This window comes from Homo sapiens, chromosome 19 (genome assembly GCF_000001405.40).
Source record: "Homo sapiens chromosome 19, GRCh38.p14 Primary Assembly".
In the NCBI taxonomy this organism is placed as follows: Eukaryota; Metazoa; Chordata; class Mammalia; order Primates; family Hominidae; genus Homo; species Homo sapiens.
Window position 1 is genome coordinate 21,978,285 of NC_000019.10, and position 24,508 is coordinate 22,002,792.

Below are 24,508 nucleotides of genomic sequence, written 5' to 3' on the forward strand. Positions count from 1 at the left end.
CCTCCCAGTAGAAGCTGATAGACACCTCGTACAAGAGAGCTCTGGCTGGCACATGGCAGGTGGCCTTGGGACGAAGCTTCCAGAGGAAGGAACAGGCAGCAATCTTTGCTGTTCTGCAGCCTCCGCTGGTGATACCCAGGCAAACAGGGTCTAGAGTAGACTTCCAGAAAGCTCCAGCAGATCTGCAGCAGAGAGGCCTGACTGTTAAAAGGAAAACTAACAAACAGAAAGGAATAGAAGTAACATCTCCAAAAGGATGTTTACTCAGAAACCCCGTCCAAAAGTCATCAACATCAAAGACCAAAGGTAGATAAATCCATAAAGATGGGGAGAAGCCAGTGCAAAAAGGCTGAAAATTCCAAAACCCAGAATGCCTGTTCTCCTCCAAAGGATCACAACTCATTGCCAGCAAAGAAAGAAAACTGAATGGAGAATGAGTTTGACGAATTGACAGCTCAAATTTGACAAATTTCAGAGGTGGGTTATAACAAACTCCTCCAAACTAAAGGAGCATGTTCTAACCCAATGCCAGGAAGCTAAGAACCTTGAAAAAAGGTTAGATGAATTGCTAACGAGAATAACCAGTTTAGAGAACATAAATGCCTGATGGAGATGAAAAACACACCACGAGAACTTCATGAAGCATACACAAATGTCAACAGCTGAATCGATAAAGCGGAAGAAAGGATATCAGAGACTGAAGATTAACTTAATGAAATAAAGCAAGAAGACAAGATTAGACAAAAAAGAATAAAAAGAAATGAACAAAGCCTCCAAGAAATATGGGACTATGTGAAAAGACCAAATCTACATTTAATTCGGGTACGTGAAAGTGACAGGGAGAATGGAACCAAGTAGGAAAACACTCTTCAGGATATCATCCAGGAGAATGTCCCCAACATAGCAAGACAGGCCAACATTCAAATTCAGAAAATACAGAGAACACCACAAAGATGCTCCTCGAGAAGAGCAACCCCAAGACACAGAATCGTCAGATTCACCAAGGTTGAAATGAAGAAAAAATGTTGACGGCAGCCAGGGAGAAAGGTCGGGTTACCCATAAAGGGAAGCCCATCAGACTAACAGTGGATTTCTCTGCAGAAACCCTACAGGCCAGAAGAGACTGGGGGGCCAATATTCAACATTCTTAAAGAAAGGAATTTTCAACCAAGAATTTCACATCCAGCCAAACTAAACTTCATAAATGAAGGAGAAATAAAATCCTTTACAGATAAGCAAATGCTGAGAGATTTTGTCACCACCAGGCCTGCCTTACAAGAGCTCCTGAAGGAAGCACTAAACATAAAAAGGAACAACTGGTAAACCAGCCACTGCAAAAACATACCAAATTGTAAAGATCATTGACACTATGAAGAAACTGCATCAACTAATGGGCAAAATAACCAGCTAGCGTCATAATGACAGGATCAAATTCACACACAACAATATTAACCTTAAATGTAAACAGGCTAAATGCCCCAATTAAAAGACACAGACTGGCAAATTGAACAGTCAAGATCCATCAAAGTGCTGTATTCAGGAAATCCATCTCACGTGCAAAGACACATATAGGCTCAAAATAAAGTTATGGAGGAATATTTACCAAGCAAATGGAAAGCAAAAGAAAGCAGGGGTTGCAATTCTAGTCTCTGATAAAACAGACTTTAAACCAACAAAGATCAAAAGAGACAAAGATGGTCATTACATAATGGTAAAGGGATCAATGCAACAAGATGAGCTAACTATCCTAAATATATATGCACCCAATACAGGAGCACCGAGAATCATAAAGCAAGTTCTTACAGACCTACAAAGAGACTTAGATACCCATACTATAGTAGTGGGAGACTTTAATATCCCAGTGTCAATATTAGCCAGATCAATGACACAAAAAACTAAGAAGGATATTCAGGACTTGAACTCAGCTCTGGACCAAGCAAACCAAATAGACATCTACAGGACTCTGCCACAAATCAACAGAATATACATTCTTCTCGGCACCACATCACTCTTAAATTGACAACATACTTGGAAGTAAAATACTCCTCAGCAAATTTTAAAAAATGGAAATCATAACAAACAGTCTCTCAGAGCACAGTGCAATCAAATTTGAACTCAGGATTAAGAAACTCACTCAAAACTGTACAACTACATGGAAACTGAACAACCTGCTCCTGAATGATTATAGGGTAAATAATAAAATGAAGGCAGAAATAAAAAAGTTCTTTGAAACCAACAGGAACAAAGACACAACACACCAGAATCTCCGGGACACAGACAAAGCAGTGTCTAGAAAATATATAGCACTAAATGCCCACAAAAGAAAGCAAGACAGATCTAAAATTGACACCCTAACATCACAATGAAAAGAACTAGAGAAGCAAGAATAAACAAATTCAAACCCTAGCAGAAGACAAGAAATAACTAAGAAAAGAGCAGAACTGAAGGAGATAGACACAAAAAATCCTTCAAAAAAATCAATGAATCCAGGAGCTGGTTTTTTGAAAAGATTAACAAAATAGACTGCTAGCCAGTCTAATAAAGAAGAAAGGAGAGAAGAATCAAATAGACACAATCAAAAATAATAAAGGGGACATCACCACTGATTCCACAGAAATACAAACTACCATCAGACAATACTATAAACATCTCTATACAAATAAACTAGAAAATCTAAAAGAAATGAATAAATTCCTGGACACATACACCATCCCAAGTCTAAATCAGGAAGAAGTCAAATCCCTGAAGAGATCAATAACGAATTCTGAAACTGAGGCAGTAATTATGAGCCTAACAACCAAAAATGTCCAGGACCCGATGGATTCACAACCTTTGTACCAGAGGTACAAAGAAGAGCTGATTCTATTATTTCTGAAACTATTCCCAACAATGGAAAAAGAGGGACTCCTGTCTAACTCATTTTATGAGGCCAGCATCATCCTGATACCAAAACCTGGCAGAGACACAACAAAAAAAGAAAATTTCAGGCCAATATCCCTGATTAACATGGATGCAAAAATCCTCAATAAAATACTGGCAAACTGAATCCAGCAGCACATCAAAAAGCTTATCCACCAAGATCAAGTCAGGTTCATCTGTGGGATGCAAGGCTGGTTCAACATACACAAATCAATAAACATAATCGCTCACATAAACACAACCAATGACAAAAACCACATGATTATCTCAATAGATGCATAAAAGGCCTTCAACAAAATTGAACAGCCTTCATGCTAAAAACTTGCAATAAACTAGGTATAGATGGAACGTATCTCAAAATAATAAGAGCTATGTATGACAAACTGACAGACAATATCATACTGAATGGTCAAAAACTGGAAGCATTCCCTTTGAAAACTGGCACAAAACAGGGATGCTCTCTCTCACCACTCCTATTCAACATAGTATTGGAAGTTCTGGTGAGGGCAATCAGGCAAGAAAAAGAAATAAAGGATATTCAAATAGGAAAAGAGGAAATCAAATTGTCTCTATTTGCAGATGACATGATTGTATATTTAGAAAACCCCACTGTCTCAGCCCAAGATCTCCCTAAATGGATAAGCAACTTCAGCAAAGTCTCAGAATACAAAATCAATGAGCAAAAATCACAAGCATTCCTAAACACCAATAATAGCCAAATCATGAGTGAACTCCCATTCACAATTGCTACAAAGAGAATAAAATACCTAGGAATACAACTTACAAGGGATGGGAAGGACCTCTTCAAGGAGAACTACAAACCACTGCTCAAGAAAATAAGAGAGGACACAAAAAATGGAAAAACTTTCCATGGCTGGGCGCAGTGGCTAACGTCTGTAATCCCACCATTTTGGGAGGCCGAGACGGGTGGATCATGAGGTCAGGAGATCGAGATCATCCTGGCTAACACTGTGAAACCCCATCTCTACTAAAAACACAAAAAAATTAGCCGGGCATGGTGGCAGGCGCCTGTAGTCCCAGCTACTCGGGAGGCTGAGGCAGGAGAATGGCGTGAACCTGGGAGGTGGAGCTTGCAGTGAGCTGAGATCGCACCACTGCACTTCAGCCTGGGTGATAGAGCGAGACTCCATCTCAAAAAAAAAAAAAAAAAAGGAAGAACATTCCATGCTCGTGCATAGAAAGAATCAATATCATGAAAATGGCCATACTGCCCAAGGTAATTTATAGATTCAATGCTATCCCCATCAAGCTACCATTGACTTTCTTCACAGAATTAGAAAAAAAACCGCTTTAAATTTCATACAGAACCAAAAAAAAGCTCATATAGCCAAGACAATCCTAAGCAAAAAGAACAAAGCTGGAGGCATCATGCTACCTGACTTCAAATTACCCTATGAGGCTACAGTAAACAAAACAGTATGGTACTGGTATCAAAGCAGATATATAGACCAATGGAACAGAACAAAGGCCTCAGAAATAACACCACACATCTACAACCATCTGATCTTTGACAAACCTGACAAAAGCAAGCAATGGGAAAAGGATTCCCTATTTAATAAATGGTGTTGAAAAAACTGGCTAGCCATATGCAGAAAACTGAAACTGGACCCCTTCCTTAAACCTTATACAAAAATTAACTCAAGATGGATTGAAGATTTAAATGTAACACTGCAAACCATAAAAACCGTAGAAGAAAACCTAGACAATACTATTCAGGACATAGGCATGGGCAAAGACTTCATGACTAAAACACCAAAAACAATGGCAACAAAAGCCAAAATTGACAAATGAAACCTAATTAAACTAAGAGCTTCTGCACAGCAAAAGAAACTATCATCAGAGTGAACAGGCAACCTACAGAATGGGAGAAAAATTTTGCAATCTATCCATCTGACAAAGGGCTAATATCCAGGATCTACAAAGAACTTAAACAAATTTACAAGAAAAAAAAACCATCAAAAAGTAGGCAAAGGATATGAACAGACATTTCTCAAAAAGACATTTATGTGGCAAACAAACATATGAAAAAAAGCACATCATCACTGGTCATTAGAGAAATGCAAATCAAAACCAAAATGAGATACCATCTCATGCCAGTTAGAACGGCGATCATTGAGAAGTCAGGAAACAACAGATGCTGGAGATGTGGAGAAGTAGAAAAGCTTTTACACTGCTGGTTGGAGTGTAAATTAGTTCAGCCATTGTGGAAGACAATGTGGCGATTCCTCAAGGATCTAGAACTAGAAATACCATTTGACCCAGCAATCCCATTACTGGGTATATACTCAGAAGATTATAAATCATTCTACTATAAAGGCACATGAATACACATGTTTTTTGCAGCACTATTCACAATAGCAAAGACTTGGAACCAACCCAAATGCCCATCAGTAATATACAGGATAAAGAAAATGTGGCACATATATACCATGGAATACTAGGCAGCCATAAAAAAAAATGAGTTCATGTCCTTTCCAGGGACATGGATGAAGCTGGAAATCATCATTCTCAGCAAACTAACACAAGAACAGAAAACGAAACACAGCATGTTCTCACTCATAAGTGGGAGTTAACAATGAGAACACAGGGACACAGGAAGGGGAACATCACACACCAGGGCCTGTCAAGGGGTGGGGGCTAGGGGAGGGATAACATTAGGAGAAATACCTAATGTAGATAACGAGTTGATGGGTGCAGCAAACCCCCATGGCACGTGTATACCTATGAAACAAACCTGCACGTTCTGCACATGTACCCCAGAATTTAAATCATAATTTAAAAAAACAGAATATTAATAAGGAAACAGGCTACATAAAGATGGTATAAAACAACTATTTCTGACAGAGGTATAGAGAGCACTCCTTAACATCAGGATACACACCCTTCTGAATAGCTCATACAATATATTTCTTGATAGACCACCTCTTAAGCCAAAAAAGAAGTCTTACCAAGTTTTTTAAAACTGAAATTTTATGAATTATTTTCTGTGACTAAACTTGAATGCCAGTATACAACAAAAATAGAAAAAAACTGAAAACAAAACAAATATGCCAGGTGCGGTGGCTCATGCCTGTAATCCCAGCACCTTGGAAGGCCAAGGCTGGTGAATCACAAGGTCAGGAGATCAAGACCATTCTGGCCAACATGGTGAAACCCTGTCTCTACTAAAATACAAAAAACTAGTGAGGCTTGGTGGCACGCACCTGTAGTCCCAGCTACTCAGGAGGCTGAGGCAGGGGAATCGCTTGAACCCAAGAGGTGGAGGTTGCAATGAGCCGAGATAATGCCATTGCACTCCAGCCTGGTGATAGAGTAAGACTCTGTCTCAAAAAAACAAAAACAAACAAACAAACAAAAAAAATATATATGAATTTAACAAAACACTCGAGCATGCTCTTATGCAAAGGTTGTAATGTTAATATTGTAAAGATGTTCATCCTATTCAATGTAATCTATAAATTTAATGAAATGTTTTTCAAATTTCTCCTTGCATTTTTGAAAAAATAGAAACTGCAACCCTAAAAGTATATAGAATCTCAAAAGACAATAAAGTACCCAACAATCTTAAAATAATAATAATAAAGCAATGTTGCAGGCATTAAAGTTCCTGATTTCAAAAGACATTCCAAGCCACAGAATTAAAACAATCTGGTATAAGGATGAAAAATCAGACTAAAGAAATAGAATGCGACACATATACTTTAACATGTATAGTCATATGAGGAGTCATTTACATAGCAATAATTATTACTGTAAGCTAGTAGGTAAAGGCAATGCAAATTTCTGTCACCAAATCATTCAGTAAATATAATCTGAAATATAAATATACTGGAATATCACTCAGTTTTAAAAAAGCAGAAAATATTCTACCAATTATAACGATAAATCTTGATAACATTATGCAAAATGAAATGAGTCAGCCACAAAAAGACAAAGATTGTATGAGATAGAGAGATATAAAGCATTTAAACTCTTAGAAACAGATAAAAACAAAAAGGTCTCCTATTTGCTTAACCCCCAACAGCAAGAAAGTTTGTCAGTCATCCGTGACAAAAATATCTTAATGAGGGAACCAGGCATCATGGTTAACATCTGTAATGACAGCAACATGGTACAGTAAGGTTGGAGAATTGCTTCAGGACAAAATTTTAAGACCAACCTGGGTTATGTAGTGAAACCCCATCTCAAAAATAAGTGCCTTTAAGAGAGCTTTGAGATCCAGGGAGGCAATTGTGAAACTTTGCTAAAGCCCAAGATTGAGGAGCACCCTTTTCAGCAGGCAAGCTTTCATTCAAGTGGCAAACTACAGGACCCCTGCTCTTGACTACAGACCAGAAAATGTCCCACCCAACTTGGTCCCACGGAGAATTTTGAACTTACTCTGTAACCATCCCAAACTCCTCCCAGCCACAGTCTGTGAGAGGTCTTTGTCTTCCAGAAGCCTGGAGAGAGATACCCATTTAGAGCCATGACGGCAGGCCGGCAGACCTTGGTCCTTACTGTGGTTCCAATACCAGTTTCATGACTCAGTTCCAGTTTCCTAAGCCACGGTTCATGGCCACTTCTGCCCATGTAGAAACCTACAGTGACCTCAGAAATGCTCTCTGGTACTCAGTGAAACCATACTAATCCACATCCTATTATAAAGCCCACCATACGCAGACCTGACTGCAGAAACCTGCCCTAGCATCTGATACCCTACTGAGCAAAGTCCTGAGGGATATTTACTCTGTCCAAAAATAAAATGGGAATTACAACTACCAAAGCCCCTTATAGTAAGCCAACTCTATTGCAGAGCCAGCAGCCCTGTGACCGAGCTACAACCCTCTGAAACCAGTTTATAAAAACTTTAAGAGGTGTTTACTCCTTCAAATTCATACACCAATGCAAAAGTATATTGTGTTCATTGTCAATGCTTCTATTTTAACACAGCACTTGAAGTATGTGGAAGAAAAATTAGTCAAAAAAATTTTAATGTCATTGAAATTGAAGACAAATAAGTAAAACATTGCTGTTTGTAAATCATGCAATGTTCTCTATAAAAAACCATAAACAGTACATTAAAACCTTTTCAAACCAATAAATACACTCAGTAAATTAGCAAAATATAAAATTAACATACAAGTTATGTTTCCATACACTTAAACTATCTGATAAAATAGAGTAATAAAACAATCTTATTTACAATAGCACTAAAATAATAAATATCTGAGAACAAATTTAACTGAGGAGTTGAAAAAGTTTTCAAGTGCAAGATTTATCAATGAAAAATAATGAGAACACAAATAAATTCAAATACATTTTATGCCTATCAATTCAAAGAATAAATGGTAAAATGCCATATTATCCAAAGTGATCTCTAGATTCAATAAACTCTCTATCAATATTCCAGTGTTTTTTTCACAGTAATGAAAAATACAATCATAAAATTTACATGAAACTACAAGAAACTGTGAATAGCCAAAGCAATCTTGAAGAAAAAGAAAAAAGCAGAAGGACATCATACTTTATAATTTCAAACTATATTTCAAGACTACAGTAATAAAAACAGGATGAAATGTACAGAAAAATGAACAAAAAAACCCCAAAGATACAGAAACTACTACTCTCACACATTTCAGAGATGATGGAAAGAGAGAACTTATAAGATAGTTTAACATGGAGTATCTTAAAATCATGCAGATATCTGTGTGTCCACAAAAACAAACAAACAAAAAGATTGTGCACTCTCTTGTATGCCATGAACAGTACTTTGGCTGTCACTGTAAACTTGAAGGAAGATTACTGAAGGGAAAGAAGAATTCTTAGAAATTTTAAAAGTGTAAGACCGAAGATGCCCCTGTGTGAGAGAAAATTAAAGAATAAAAATAAAAATTAGTCTCTCCAGAAACTACTTCTTTTGGAACACAGCTTCCAGAATCACTTTAAGGACTGGCTTCCTCCTTGACTTTCGACCTCTCATCCATGTTGTCTGTATTCACTCTCACCTACCTGGGGATTCTTCCACCATCTCATGTCTCTTCATATTCCAGGACTCTTTTCCTTCCTCCAGAAAAATGATCAGGTCTGGCTTAAAGGCAGCAATACCTGTTTTATTAAAAATGAACAACATGCTTCTTGCTCATATTCTCCAATTACCAACTCAGTAATGTGCTCAGTAAAGAGGATGTAATAGAATATTCTAATAGATTTATCCCAAAATACTAAATTATAATAAGTTGGGAAAAAGGCTTATGGGGTGCCTGTATAAGCTGGCCATAAAAATATGGGACAATATGTTGTGGAAAGCCACAGGAGGCCTCCGAGGAGGAAAGCCTCCTTACTGCCATCACGTTCCCATGACCAGAGCGTGACCTGCTCTCTTACTTATAAACACTGTGCTCAAGGAGAAAGATACTCCTTTGAAGCACTGGAATGTGGCCAGATATGCAGGCTCCTAGTTAGGCCCACCCCCCAACAGCTGCTCTCCGGTAAGTTAAAGAATGAATCAGTAGTTAAGTTTATTCTGCTTCAGCACAAAGAAACTTTGCCTAAACCACCACTGCTATAGATTAGGTGTATGACACACTACCTCCCTTTCACCATTTCACCCCTGAACATCTGCTTCTTAGATCTAAGTGATTATACTCAATAAATACTGTGGAGACCAGAACTTGATGCCTTTTGCAGCCTCCAAAAGTGCAACTGGTCCCCTGGCACCCCACCCTTTGTGCACTCTTAACCTGTCTCTTCTCATTCCTTCGTCGCCACCGGACTTTCTGTACCCTACAGGTGGTATTGAAGCTGGTCCCCAACAATAACAGAAATTTCTAAATATTTAGAAAATTCTCTAATTTTGTAGGTTCTTAATTTTATCACCTAGTAATACTGAATTAAAAATTGGTGGTTGCCAGTAAACTTTTGAAATTACCATTAATCTAAAGTGAAGGACACAGATCAGCTCAAGAATGTGGTAAGTTCAGGTCAAGATGAAACATCTTGAATTTTTTTTCTATATGGAAAAACTCCTATGATTTTCTTGAAAATAGAAATCTGAAAGCATAAATTACCAAAAAGAAATTATACAAAAAAGAAATGGTGTTGGGAGCTGAAAGCCTGAGGGTCATGACCAACTCAGCATTCCACTGGAGGCTATATGATAAACAGCAAACAGTTTATCATGAATGCAGAATGTGGGCAAACTTGCTTCTGCTCCTGCCACCAGAAGGTACACTGAGGACAGTCACTCCCTGGTGCCATGCTCCTTGAAGTTATCTACTGGAACATCTGGAGAGTGCTGTTGAAAGAATACAGTCATGCAGGCCTTCATTAAGTCAAGCAGCTGACCACAACCTCCCCCTTCTCCCTATCTCCTTTACTCAATAAATACAAAGGGCTATAGAAGCTCAGGACCCTTGTTGACTAGAAGCAAGGAGGCCCCTGACCCCTTCTTCCAAATATACTCTTTTGTCTTTGTCTTTATTCTCACATTCATCCTCCGTTGTTCAGTCCAATAAGGTCTGCAGCAAAATGAAACCTGTAGTGTATACTAGGAATTGCGTATTAAAGTTATTCTCACCCAGGAAGACCAGGTTTCTGTAGTTCTCTAACATCACATTTCTATATAAATTCTGCTGTGCAGTGTCCAGGCATTGCCACTCCTCCAGAGAGAATTCTATGGCCACATCCCTAAATGTCAATGATCCCTGGAAAACACAAACACACATATTTATCAACTGGACATGGGCAGAATTTTTAATTTGACTCAAGGTAAAATGCAGAGAGTAAAGAGAGCTGGTTCTGACTTATAAGCATGACTGAAATTATTCAATAAAATAATTTTTAACACAAATATTCTCTAACATATTCTCTCTCTTTTTTCTTTTTTTAATTATTATTATACTTCAAGTTTTATGGTACATGTGCAGAATGCGCAGGTTAATTACATATGTATACATGTGCCATCCTGGTGTACTGCACCCATTAACTCGTCATTTAGCATTAGGTATATCTCCTAATGCTATCCCTCCCCCCACCCCCCACCCCACAACAGTCCCCAGACTGTGATGTTCCCCTTCCGGTGTCCATGTGTTCTCATTGTTCAATTCCCATCTATGAGCAAGAACATGCGGTGTTTGGTTTTTTGTCCTTGTGATAGTTTACTGAGAATGTTCCAATTTCATCCATGTCCCAACAAAGGACATGAACTCATCATTTTTTATGGCTGCATAGTATTCCATGGTATATATGTGCCACATTTTCTTAATCCAGTCTGTCATTGTTGGTCATTTGGGTTGGTTCCAAGTCTTTGCTATTGTGAATAGTGCCGCAATAAACATACGTGTGCATGTGTCTTTATAGCAGCATGATTTATAGTCCTTTGGATATATACCCAGTAATGAGATGGCTGGGTCAAATGTTATTTCTAGTTCTAGATCCCTGAGGAATTGCCACATGGACTTCCACAATGGCTGAACTAGTTTACAGTCCCACCAACAGTGTAAAAGTGTTCCTATTTCTCCACATCCTCTCCAGCACCTGTTGTTTCCTGCCTTTTTAATGATTGTCATTCTAACTGGTGTGAGATGGTATCTCATTGTGGTTTTGATTTGCATTACTCTGATGGCCAGTGATGATGAGCATTTTTTCATGTGTTTTTTGGCTGCATAAATATCTTCTTTGGAGAAGTGTCTGTTCATATCCTTTGCCCACTTTTTGATGGGGTTGTTTGTTTTTTTCTTGTAAATTAGTTTGAGTTCACTGTAGATTCTGGATATTAGCCCTTTGTCAGATGAGTAGTTTGCGAAAATTTTCTCCTGTTTTGTAGGTTGCCTGTTCACTCTGATGGTAGTTTCTTTTGCTGTGCAGAAGCTCTTTAGTTCAATTAGATCCCATTTGTCAATTTTGGCTTTTGTTGCCATTGCTATTGGTGTTTTAGACATGAAGTCCTTGCCCATGCCTATGTCCTGAATGGTAATGCCCAGGTTTTCTTCTAGGGTTTTTATGGTTTTAGGTCTAAAGTTTAAGTCTTTAATCCATCTTGAATTAATTTTTGTATAAGATGTGAGGAAGGGATCCAGTTTCAGCTTTCTACATATGGCTAGCCAGTTTTCCCAGCACCATTTATTAAATAAGGAATCCTTTCCCCATTACTTCTTTTTCTCAGGTTTGTCAAAGATCAGATAGTTGTAGATATCCAGCATTATTTCTGAGGGCTCTGTTCTATTCCATTGATCTATATCTCTGATATCTCTGTTTTGGTACCAGTACCATGATGTTTTGGTTACTGTAGCCTTGTAGTATAGTTTGAAGTCAGGTAGCGTGATGCCTCCAGCTTTGTTCTTTTGGCTTAGGATTGACTTGGTGATGCAGGCTCTTTTTTGGTTCCATATGAATTTTAAAGTAGTTTTTTCCAATTCTGTGAAGAAAGTCATTGGTAGCTTGATGGAGATGGCATTGAATCTATAAATTACCTTGAATCTATAAAATACCTAGTATGGCCATTTTCACGATATTGATTCTTCCTACCCATGAGCATGGAATGTTCTTCCATTTGTTTGTATCCTCTTTTATTTCATTGAGCAGTGGTTTGTAGTTCTCCTTGAAGAGGTCCTTCACGTCCCTTCTAAGTTGGATTCCTAAGTATTTTATTCTCTTTGAAGCAATTGTGAATGGGAGTTCACTATGATTTGGCTCTCTGTTTGTCTGTTATTGGTGTATAAGAATGCTTGTGATTTTTGTACATTGATTTTGTATCCTGAGACTTTGTCGAAGTTGCTTATCAGCTTAAGGAGATTTTGGGCTGAGACAATGGAGTTTTCTAGATATACAATCATGTCATCTGCAAACAGGGACAATTTGACTTCCTCTTTTCCTAATTGAATACCCTTTATTTCCTTCTCCTGCCTAATTGCCCTGGTCAGAACTTCCAACACTATGTTGAATAGGAGTGGTGAGAGAGGGCATCCCTGTCTTGTGCCAGTTTTCAAAGGGAATGCTTCCAGTTTTTGCCGATTCAGTATGATATTGGCTGTGAGTTTGTCATAGATAGCTCTTATTATTTTGAGATGCATCCCATCAATACCTAATTTATTGAGAGTTTTATTCTCTAACTCTGATAAAAGAAAGTGGTATAAGATCCATAACATCAGTTTATATGTAATATTTTTCTAGATAATAAAGTATAAACTGAGGGCATAAACACTAACATGTACAATTTTGAGTGCTATATTTACATCATACAGAATTAATTGTGTGCCAGGCATGGTGGCTTATGCCTGTAATCCTAGCACTTTGGGAGGCTGAGGCAGGCAGATCACCTGAGGTCGGGAGTTCGAGACCAGCCTGACAAACATGGAGAAACCCTGTCTCCACTAAAAACACAAAATTAGCCAGGCATGGTGGCGCATGCCTGTAATCCTAGCTACTCAGGAGGCTGAGGCAGGAGAATCGCTTGAACCCGCGAGGCAGAGGTTGCGGTTAGCCGAGATCATGCCATTGCACTCCAGCTTGGGCAACAAGAGTGAAACTCCATCTCAAAAAAAAAAAAAAAAAAAGAATCAATTGCATTTTTCAAATGGAAAGACATAGTTTTGTGTATTATTCAGATGGAATAGATGTGTTGAGTTAGAAGGTATCACTCAAATTTTAATGTGTACAACAAGCTAGAGATCCTGTTAATGCAGATTTTTTTTTTCCAGAAGATCTGAGATAAAGTCTGAGTTACTGAATTTCTAATAAGCTCATAAGTATGCCAAAGTTTTTGGCCCAAAAAGACTATTTTGTCAAATATCCAGTAATTGAATGAGCCTGTGTTTTTCTCAGTTTTTCTGGTTTGTAAACAAAGATGAGAGGTTTCATTTTCCAAAAACAGACAAATGGAAAGGAAACCTAAGAAAGAAGGGCAGCAGCCAGATTAAATGTGTTGGTTTATTCACATCAGCTGCATAAAGATACTTGATGATGAAGAGAAAAATAATTAATTCTATAGTGAAAAAATGTGTCAGAAAGCTTATCAACCAAGTGATTTATTAACATCAACTACACTAGAACACATTTTTATAATGTCCTGATGCACCCAGAAGGACGCAGCATTACTGCTGAGATATTGCCCCCTGAAAGGTAAATTATAGTCTGAGTTTAACCATAAGGAAACATTAGTTTTATGGAAAGTTCAAGATACAGATATCTCCCATGTTCTGTAATTTTTAGTAGTGATTTTAAATAGTCTTTCTTTAGCACTGTAGAAAGCGGGTATCTCCTAACAATTTTTAAAGAATTTTCTGGGTAATAAATACCATACTGCTTCAATGAGTGTTTTCTTATCCTGTACTGCAGAGACATAATAAAGAACACAGATGAAACCACAACATTATATGTTCTGTCTTCACTAAAAACCCCAGGTTTTCCCCAATAGGAATTTTGAGTGTCTACATCTTCCCATGTTCCACAGCCACAAAGGGACATTTTTAATATTGCAGATTATAAATTCATAGTGAGATTTCTGCATGGCATAGAAGAAGCCGTAATATAGAGAAGGCTCTGGTATACAGAAAAAATATATATTTTTCAGAGACTTTGATTATTGTCAGAATTTTTTCAAATAGTTAAGACAAACTCATTAGGGAGGAAAAACACAAATACAGAAGTACAGGTTTGCAAGTACTAAACACATGTTTTCTGGAGGAAGCAGACTGGACACAGATCTTGATCTGAGACATGTTTAGCTGAAAAAGAAAAGGCCATTTTTTTCTCCTTCTCCTCCTTCTCTAGGATTCTTTCTCAAATAAAATTTTCTAGACAAATTACACCTGCATCTTGAGAATATGCCTTTAAAAGTGTCAGCACCACAGGTCTACCTGCTGTCACCACATCCACAGGCAGAAGGACCAAGACAGAAAAACTCCATCCATTTCTGTCCTTTATAGCCGAAGAGATTAACAAAGAGTAGCTCCACAGAGATAAAAATATGCTTTTCTTTATTTTGTCCTCAGGAGCCATCCCCTGACACAGGCACCAGCAATTTCTGCCACAGTAATGGAAATATGGGCCACGCTGTACTGTCCCTACCAAATCCAAACAGAATTAGGTTCTTGGACCACCCTTTAATGCAAAGATGGAACTTAACTCTCATGAATGTATTTTGAATTCCTCATACTTGATTCTGGCCTCACCTTAGAGTCACATGAGCCACTTAATTAAAACAACATGGATGCTTCCACCAAGAACAATAAACAGAATCCATGGACAGGGCACAAGTAAAAAGAGTTCTGCAAAATGGCCAAGTGATACTAATTAGAAGCCTGGGCTGATAACTCCTTAAGTAAGCATTTCCTCTCAAGCTCTAATGAGCTTATAAAATCACTTGGTAATTTTGGCCCCACTCTATGAAATGTAATTCTGCAGGTATGGAAAGGGTCCATAAATGGGTCTTTTAAACAAATGCCCTGTCAATAATGATGTTGCTCCCACTGGGCTTATTATTAGCATTAGTCAGAGAAATGAGGCACAATGCAGAGTCCCTTACACGCAGCACTCTTGTCAAAACACAAATACTTCTGGTACAAATGAAGACAATCATTCTTCATCCTAAAGTATTATATTCTTTGCTGACTCTTTAAAGTTTGCAGAGGAAAAAAAAAAGCAGCAATTTCTGAGTAAGTCTGCATTTGGAAAACAACATGTGCACATGTACTACTACAATGTTTATTAAGCAGGTACTATGTGCTCAATAGGAAGTTACAGAGCACTGTGATAGCACATTATGTGATTTAATCCTAATAACACCCTTTCAGTTGATACTAAGTGTTCAATAATTCCAAGGCTTTAAAGGACCCAGCATTTTTATTTCTATTTCTGTTTAACTGTCATTGATTTTTTCAAAAAATGTATAGAACAAAAGCTAAATATAGACAGATGAAAGGGATACAGATGGAAAGAGTTTAATGCAATTTAGATACATTTTTATTGTGTTTATATTTACTTTCTTGTGACTTGTGAATCAACTACTAGATCTGGAGGAACAGAAAACAAGCTGCTAAATAAAGTCTCTTCAAGCACTGGTTTTAATAAAAAATTTGAAAAGTAAGATCCTATAATACATACTTTATATTTCCCATTTATCTGCTTTTAAGTTTCAGAAAATGTTGAACACCAGCTCTAAAAAGGCAACAGGATTCATGACCCAAAACTCTGATCTCTTCTAATCGGTTCTTTCAGGCAAGACTCCAGGGTAGGGCCAGACATAAATAAGGCCTCCAAAAAAGGGTGAATATGAACAGGGCTGGGGCAGAGTGTAGAGCCGATGTACAATTCTGTTCTCTATGCCACTGGGGGGTACTGTCAGTTCTTTTTTTTAAGCTTACTTAAGTAAACTTAAATCCGAGTTTGTATAATTTTAATCTTTTTTAGCCACTGCCCTGTAAATTTTATATTACATACTAATAAGCAATTCAAAAAAAAATCCCTTAAGGTTTTCTAGAATAATTTTTTTAGAAGAAAAATAAGTATTCTTAGCAGGGTAAAAGAAATACAAATAATAATAATGACTCTTCCGTTTATAAGTTCAGGTGTAGACATCAGAAACCACAATATAAAGAAAGTGGCTCAAATAAAGCCCAAGTTGTTTTTTGTACATATCTATTTATTGTACCCACCATATGATCCATAATTCAACCATTTTTCCAGTTGCTAGTCTAGACTACAACTTCCAGGATGGTAGCAATCATGACTGCTTATCTGTTTTTCTTTTCTTTTTTTTTTTTTTTGAGACTGAGTCTCACTTTGTTGCCCGGGCTGTGGTGCGATGGTGTGATCTCAGCTCACTGCAGCCTCCTCCTCCCAGGTTCAAGAGATTCTCCTGCCTCAGCCTCCCAAGTAGCCAGGACTACAGGCATGAGCCACCACACCCAGCTAATTTGGGTATTTTTAGTAGAGATGGGATTTCACCATGTTGGCCAGGCTGGTCTCGAACTCCTGACCTCAGGTGATCCACCCATCTTGGCTTCCCAAAGTGCTGGGATTACAGGTATGAGACATTGCACCCAGCCTGTTTCTTCTATTTTTTTATGACTATATGAAATGGAAGCAATTAGTTTATCTGTTTGAGCCTCCAGACCTCCTGATTTTTTACCCAAGTACCAGGGAACTGGAAAAACTCTCATCTGGCTACCAACCAGAGATACTTCTTGTATAACGGGTGAAACAAACACGAGATGACTCATTTCTCTCACACTGGGACAGAAGCAGAATTAATCACTCTTGTCAGCCTGACACAATTCTGTTCTGGACATTCTCCAATGTCTCAGAGATTCATAGGTAATTGTTAGACGGTTCCCTGTGAACCTGGGCTGATGGTCCAATGATAAGACAGGCAGAGAAGACTCAGGATGATTCTAAATAAAAAAATGGAACTACTTTGGCTCAACTCCAGAATCCGGGTTGTCCGTCCTGATTTGCTAGCTGTTGGGTAAGTAGAAGGACAAGAAGACTCTACTCCAGTATCACATTTTACAGGTAGGTATAGTTGTGGTCATGGCTCTGGATACTTTGTGGTCTTAAGATGCTTGTTTACACTTACAGATTCTGCCATCAGATTCTATTTACTCCTGGAGCCTCTCATATAACTGTGGCAGGTTAATGAAGAAGATGTGAAAAGGTCAAAAAGCCACACTCCCAAAAAAGGAATTTAAAATGTCTATGTTGATATCTCACAATGCAGAAAATGCCTCCTGTTGGTTTTCTGTAAATTCTCAATCCAAAGTCTGGCCCTGCCTTGTAAATCCCAGCAGAGGCCAGGTCTTATTTGCAAATTCTAGGTGAAATCAACCTCACTCTGCATTTTTGGGTGTTACAGCAAGTAGAGTGAAATCAAAGGAGAGATTCCCTCCTAGAGGCTGCTCTAGGATATTCTAAATAATATTTTACCTTAAAAAAGCTGACACAACATGAACATAAGCAGACAGTTTATTTGGGTCAAGCTTAAGTATTTTAACTTGAGACAAAATATTCAAGTTGCCTGGAATCTACACTTTCATTAGCAGCACTTACAAGTGGATTTGTGAAGGCAAAAAAGAGGAACAGTGAGTGAGCTGATACAAAATTGGTTGTGAGAAATTCTTATTTATGTAAAGAAATAACTTTAATAATTGATTGGATATACATCATTAAGGTTAAGGATATGGAATATAGTGTCCAGTGTAGAATTATTAGTTTAATTTATAGCTACTTGTGGCAATAGTGAACAGTTTCAATAGATAAATATATAGCTGAAAAAAAGGAGAAAAACGTAATTGTGCTCTCATTTTAATGTTTCTCTGACTTTAGTAACTAAAAGGACTTGCATTCCTCAGATAAAAACTTATTTTTTTCTTTTCAATTCTCAAGACTTAGATTTAGAATACGGAGCTGCAAATTCAGGTCCTGCATGGGTAAAGTAGCAATAGGTGTTACCTGAACATTTGTGGGCATTTTAGCATGAGGAGGGAGGGAGAAGTGGATTCTCACGTCTACAGGTCTACTCAGTGCACATATTTTACTCTGATTGGGTTTCTGTGCCCCATGGTCACTGAATCAGTTTCAGGTCTGAAGACACAAGTCATTGAAAGAGGTAAAATGGTTAATATCTGACCTATGAAGTTTGTAGAAATCTGTTCTAGCCTCTCTAAAAGTGACTGCAGAGGATGATAGATACCAAGTACGTAGAGACACAATTCCACCTGCATATTTAGGGTACAGCATGCACTTCACAGCACAACTGTGAATTGACTGGAAGCCTGAGTGGAAAAGGCCCATCTAGAGTAAAGCTTAGTTGGCACCTTATGTGTTTGTATTATGTCTGGTAATTCTAGACAAGGTTTGGGAAATATAATTAGAAGCACAATTTTCTTCAGCCCCAGAGGAACTCCACATAACAGAACAGAAAGAAAATTGTTTTATTACACAATTACATGTGAATATGACATGCATTATAGTCAATTTGCTCAAGAGATTGCAAAGACAGAAAGACAGTGACCATAATTTGTCTACAAGTAGAATTTACAGCACCATGTCATACATAGTTCATCCTAAATTCACATGGTAGTTGGGAAGGCCATCCATGTATGCTAATTGGTTATAATCAATGACAAAATAAACTTTTCACATCTTCATGACTGGAGGTAGTTTTGCAACTTGAACCCCGGTGCCTACTGAAGGTAGGCTTTGACTCTTCTACAAAAAGTGTTGATTCGGGTGCTATCTTTTTGGCTATTTACATTTTAAAGCAATAGCTCTCTACTCCCTGAGCACTGGGCTAGAGCACTCCTGCTTTCCCTCTCTTGGTGGCTAGTGTACTCTCTTGACCCCACCATCTGCCACTGAGGCACAGCCCACAGCACAGGGCTCACAGCTGGAAACTCACATCTTAGGTGAACCCCATTTGCCACAGCAGCACTCCAGTGGCACATCAGACAGTGAAGCCTGAGCAGCAGGAGGAGAGCCTGCAGGCCTCCTGGGTAGAATTGCACCTTCACAATAATAGAAAAGGGAGCACTGTTTCAGCCTCAGTTTTTATTTATAATGGTGACATGAAAAAAATACTGCTGGGTTTTAGCATGAGTCCAGATAGAGACAGCTCTGAGAGTTCTCACTGTGACAGCTCACGTCTTTCACAGACACCACGGGATACTAATAGGGCTTCTCAAACAGACACACAATGCATTAGAGAGAAAAAACTGCTCTCATTCTGAGAAAGATTATGTTGAGAGAAAAAAGTTAAAAGTGTCTTAAGAAAAAACTGAGATTAGATATAAGATTGATCAAGTCAGCCAGAAAATATTTCCCTAAGAAGAATTTCTCTCCAAACACCCAAAGTGCATAGCTACTCTCAGCAAGGGAAACATGAGCATTATTGAATAAAGGGGGCACATTCTCAGCAAAAAAAAAAATTTTTTTTTTTTGAGATAGAGTTCCATTCTTTTTTTTTTTTTTTTGGACAGAGTCTCACTCTGTCGCCCAGGCTGGAGTGCAGTGGCGCGATCTCGGCTCACTGTAAGCTCTGCCTTCTGGGTTCACGCCATTCTCCTGCCTCAGCCTCCTGAGTAGCTGGGACTATCGGCGTGTGCCACCACACCCGGCTAATTTTTTTTTGTATTTTTAGTAGAGATGGAGTTTCACCATGTTAGCCAAGATGGTCTCGATCTCCTGACCTCGTGATCCACCTGCCTCGGCCTCCCAAGTGCTGGGATTACAGGCGTGAGCTGCCACGCCCGGCCAAGGAGTTTCATTCTTGTTGCCCTGGCTGGAGTGCAATGGTGTGATCTAGGCTCACTACAACCTCTGCCTCCCGGGTTCAAGCAATTCTCCTGTCTCAGCCTCCCAAATGACTGGGACTGTAGACACACACCACCACACCTGGCTAATTCTGTTATTTTTGGTAGAGACGAGGTTTCACCACATTGTCCAGGCTGGTCTCAAACTCCTGACCTCAGGTGATCCACCCCCCTTGGCCTCCCAAAATGCTGGGATTACAGGCATGAGCCACAGCGCCCAGCTCTCAGCAGAATTTTAAAAGATTTATCTTCCATCTCTGCTGTTCTCTTATTTCCTAACCATTGAATGTGAGATATATTGGAATATATCTGACAACTTCCACCAGCACTTTTTTATAAAAATTGAAATCTGACTGTGTTAATATAGTAGAATATATTAGAGCTTGCAACATAGCTAACTGGAGAGCAATTACGGTTTTTGGGTAGCCATATCACTTGTCTTTGTCCTGTAATAGTAGCAAGCTAATTTGGTAAAATATATGACACTAAAATTATGCTATAATTTTATAGCATAATTTTATGCTATAATTTTATAGCATAATTTTATGCTATAATTTATAAATTATATACCTATAATTTATTCCCATTGGATAAATTAATATGCATGTCAGACTAATATCTACTATAATGATTTAATGGTAAATTTTTTTGGATATCAGATACAAATATGTAAGTATGAATAATTTTATGTACTACTCATAATGTATGTAAGATTTTAAAAAATTATCTGAACTATACTTCAGTTGAAACACTATATTTCAAAAATATGAATAATATTAAAATAACTAAGGAATTCAATCTAAGTAAATACGTGGCCTTAAATTCATACTATTGTAGAAAATACTGTTTATATGAATGCAGGTTGTCTACAAACACTACACATAACTATACTAACTGTACTGAAGTAACCCAAGTACAACAGACTCCACTGTTCAGTCTATACACTGAACTCTTCTGGCTTTTGCAGTGTAAGTATGTCAGCCAGCAAATAATCACCCTGGATAATCAGGTTTCTGCCAAAGAACTTACTCAGGATCTTTTAGTCTTTATTATTCTGTATTGCTAAATTTAATCCAATCTTTGTGCTCAACTTCTTTATGCTCTTGAAATGAACTTTACTCTGAACAAATTTGTGTCTACTTTAAAGACTAAAGACAAAAAAAAAACCAATATTTTGCCAAGACAAAAAGAAAGCAATGAATCTCAGGTCCCAGATAAAGACAATTCTGAGTCAAAAAGAATGACAAATGGTTTGTGTTATTGCTAATATGATTTACATATATTTCAAAAAGCAGAAAAAATATATACATATAATCTAAACCTTTTATAAAAATCAGCAAGTTATCCTCCCTTATTTTCACATATGAGAATAAAGCTTCTTATTTCTAATTTATATTTTGTCTTACAACAGCCAGGTCTCTGGACAAGTTCTTGAACTCTTGGACATCTGAATTTTGCACACTGTGTGCACTTGAAAGAATGTTTATGGGGGGAAAAGCAGAAGAGAGGAAGGTGTTATAAAAAAACTCCATGGGTTCACATGAATAAAGCAAGTTCTTAGAGACCTATGAAGAGACTCAGAATCTGACACAGTAATAATCGGAGACTACATCTGACAAGCACTAATGGACAGATCATTGAAGAAGAAAATTAACAACAATATTACGACTTGAACTCAACACTTGACCAAACAGTCCTAATAGACATCTACAGAACTCTTCATCGAAAAATACCGTAATATATGTTCTTCTCATCACCATGTGGCACATACTCTAAAATTGACCACACAATCAGAAACAAAACAATTCTCAGCAAATTCAAAAATCCGAAAATTATACAAACCACACACACAGATTACAGCTTAAGAAAAAAATGATTCAATACCAATAAAACAACTGGAAACTATACAATTAAATAAAAATTAAATGGCCTACACTTGAATAACTTTTTGGTAAATAATGAAATTAAGGCAGAAACCAAGAAGTGTTTTGAAACAAATAAGAACAAAAATACAACACACCAGAATCCCTGCAATACATCTAAAGCAATGTTAAAAGAAAAATTTATAGCATTAAATCCCCAGATCAAAAAGTTAAAAAGATCTCAGTTTAACAACCTGACATCATAAATAAAAGACTGAGAGCAACAAAAGCAAATCAGCCCCTAAGCTAGCAAAAGACAAGAAATAACCAAAATCAGATCTGAACTGAAGGAGATTTAGACATGAAAAATTACAAAATATCAAGAGATCCAGGTATAAAATCTATTTTTTTAAAAAAGGTAAATAAACTACTAGCTAGATTAATGAAGAAGATACAAATAAACACAATTAGAAATAAAAAAAAGAGACATTAGCACTGACCCCACAAAAATATACTGAAGTCTGCTATGCATATAAACAAACAAACAAACGAAATCTAGAAGAAATGAAAAAATTCTTGAACAAACACATCCTCCCAAGACTGAACACACACACACAAAAATCAAAGCCCTGGGCTGAGTGCGGTGGCTCACACCTGTAATCCCAGCACTTTGGGAGGCTGAGGTGGGTGGATCACCTGAGGTCAGGAGTTCGAGACCAGCCTCAACCTGGGGAAACCCCGTCACTACTAAAAATACAAAATTACCCAGGCATAGTGGTGCATGCCTGTAATCTCAGCTACTCGGGAGGCTGAGGCAGGAGAATTGCTTGAACCTGGGAGGCGGAGGTTGCGGTGAGCCGAGATCGAGCCATTGCACTCCAGCCTAGGCAACAAGAGCGAAACTCCATCTCAAAACAAACAAACAAACAAACAAAAAATCAAAGCCCTAAATACATAGATAAGCTCAAAATATTGAATTAGTAATAAATAGCCTACCAACTAAATGAAGCTCAGGACCAGACATACTCACAGCTGAATTCTACCAGATGTACAAATAGAAGCTGATATTATTTTTACTAGAACAATTTCAAAAGATTAAAAAGAAGAAACTCCTCTCCAACTCATTATGTAAGAACAGCATCATTCTGATACCAAAACCTAACAGAGATAAAACAAAAAAAGGCAACTTCAGGCCAATATCCTTGAAAATTGATGCAAAAATCTTCAACAAAAGGCTGGGCCTGGTGGCTCATGCCTGTAATCCCAGAACTTTGGGAGGCCAAGGTGGGCCAATTTCCTGAGGTCAGGAGTTCAAGACCAGCCTAGCCAACATGATGAAACCCTGTCTCTTCTAAAAACACACAAAAAATTAGCTGGGCATGGTAGCACACACCTGTAATCCCAGCTACTCAAGAGGCTGAGGCAGGAGAATCACTTGAACCTGGGAGGCAGAGGTTGCAGTGAGCCAAGATTGCACCACTACACTCCAGCCTGGATGACACAGTGAGACTCCATCCCAAAAAAAAAAAAAAAAAAAAAAAAAAAAAGAAAAAAGAAAAGAAAAGAAATCTTCAACAAACTACTGGCAAACCAAATCCAGCAGCATATCAAAAAGCTAACCCACTATGATCAACTATGGTTTATTTTGGGGATTTAAGGTTTGCTCAACATACAGAAATCAATAAATGTGATTCATCACATAAACAGAATTAAAGACAGAAAGCACAAGATTATCTCAATAGATGCACAAAAAGCTTTCAATAAAATTTAACATTTTTCATGTTAAAAACCCTCAACAAACTAGGCATTGAAGATGCATACGTCAAAATAGTAAGTTATCTATGACAAACCCACAGCCAATATACTGAATGGACAAAACCTGGAAGCATTCCTTCTTGAAAACTGGCACAAGACAAGGATGCCTTCTCTCAACACTCCTATATTCAATATAAAATTGGTAGTCTTAGCCAGAGCAATCAGGCAAAAGATAAAAATAAAAGGCATCCAAACATAAAGAGAGGAAGTCAAACTATCCTTATTTGCAAACAACATGATTCTACATCTGGAAACCCATATACTCTCAGCAGAAAAGCTCTTTAAACTGACAAACAACTTCAGTAAAGTCTCAGGATACAAAAGAAATGTACAAAAATTAGTAGCAACCCTATATATCAAGAACACCTAGGCCAAATCCGAATCGAAAACACAATCCCATTCACAACTGCCACAGAAAAGAATAATATATCTAGAAATACAGATAACCAGAAAGGTAAAAGATCTCTATGACAAGAATTACAAAACAATGCTTAAAGAAGCCAGAGATGACACAAACAAATGGAAAGCAACTTTATGCTCATGAATAAAAAAGATCACTATCATAAAAATGGTCATACTGCTTAAATAAATTTACAGATGTAA

At 37.7% G+C, this 24,508-nt stretch overlaps 1 protein-coding gene, 1 long non-coding RNA gene and 1 pseudogene across 7 annotated transcripts in view; 1 reads left to right on the forward strand and 2 right to left on the reverse strand.

Annotated features, from left to right (window-relative positions):
- The window catches only part of ZNF208 (zinc finger protein 208), a 71,129-nt gene that overhangs the window by 38,470 nt on the left and 8,151 nt on the right, over positions 1 to 24,508 (reverse strand). For 5 of the 6 annotated variants that reach the window (NM_001329974.2, NM_001329971.2, NM_001329972.1 and 2 more), the window contains exons 2-3: positions 10,499 to 10,625; positions 8,932 to 9,027 (exon numbers count right to left, since the gene is read on the reverse strand). In NM_001329974.2, coding sequence (NP_001316903.1) covers positions 8,932 to 9,027; positions 10,499 to 10,625 — 223 coding nt within the window. Of the gene's footprint in view, positions 1 to 8,446; positions 8,780 to 8,931; positions 9,028 to 10,498; positions 10,626 to 24,508 lie in introns of those variants that run through there. The other variant, NR_138252.2, reaches the window with a different exon arrangement.
- LOC124904672 (uncharacterized) lies at positions 18,833 to 23,552 on the reverse strand. The gene is made up of 2 exons (XR_007067204.1): positions 20,799 to 23,552; positions 18,833 to 20,750 (listed from the first exon to the last, which is right to left on the reverse strand). It is a non-coding gene; the product is annotated as an uncharacterized LOC124904672 (long non-coding RNA).
- Positions 19,364 to 20,556, forward strand: BNIP3P28 (BCL2 interacting protein 3 pseudogene 28; annotated as a pseudogene).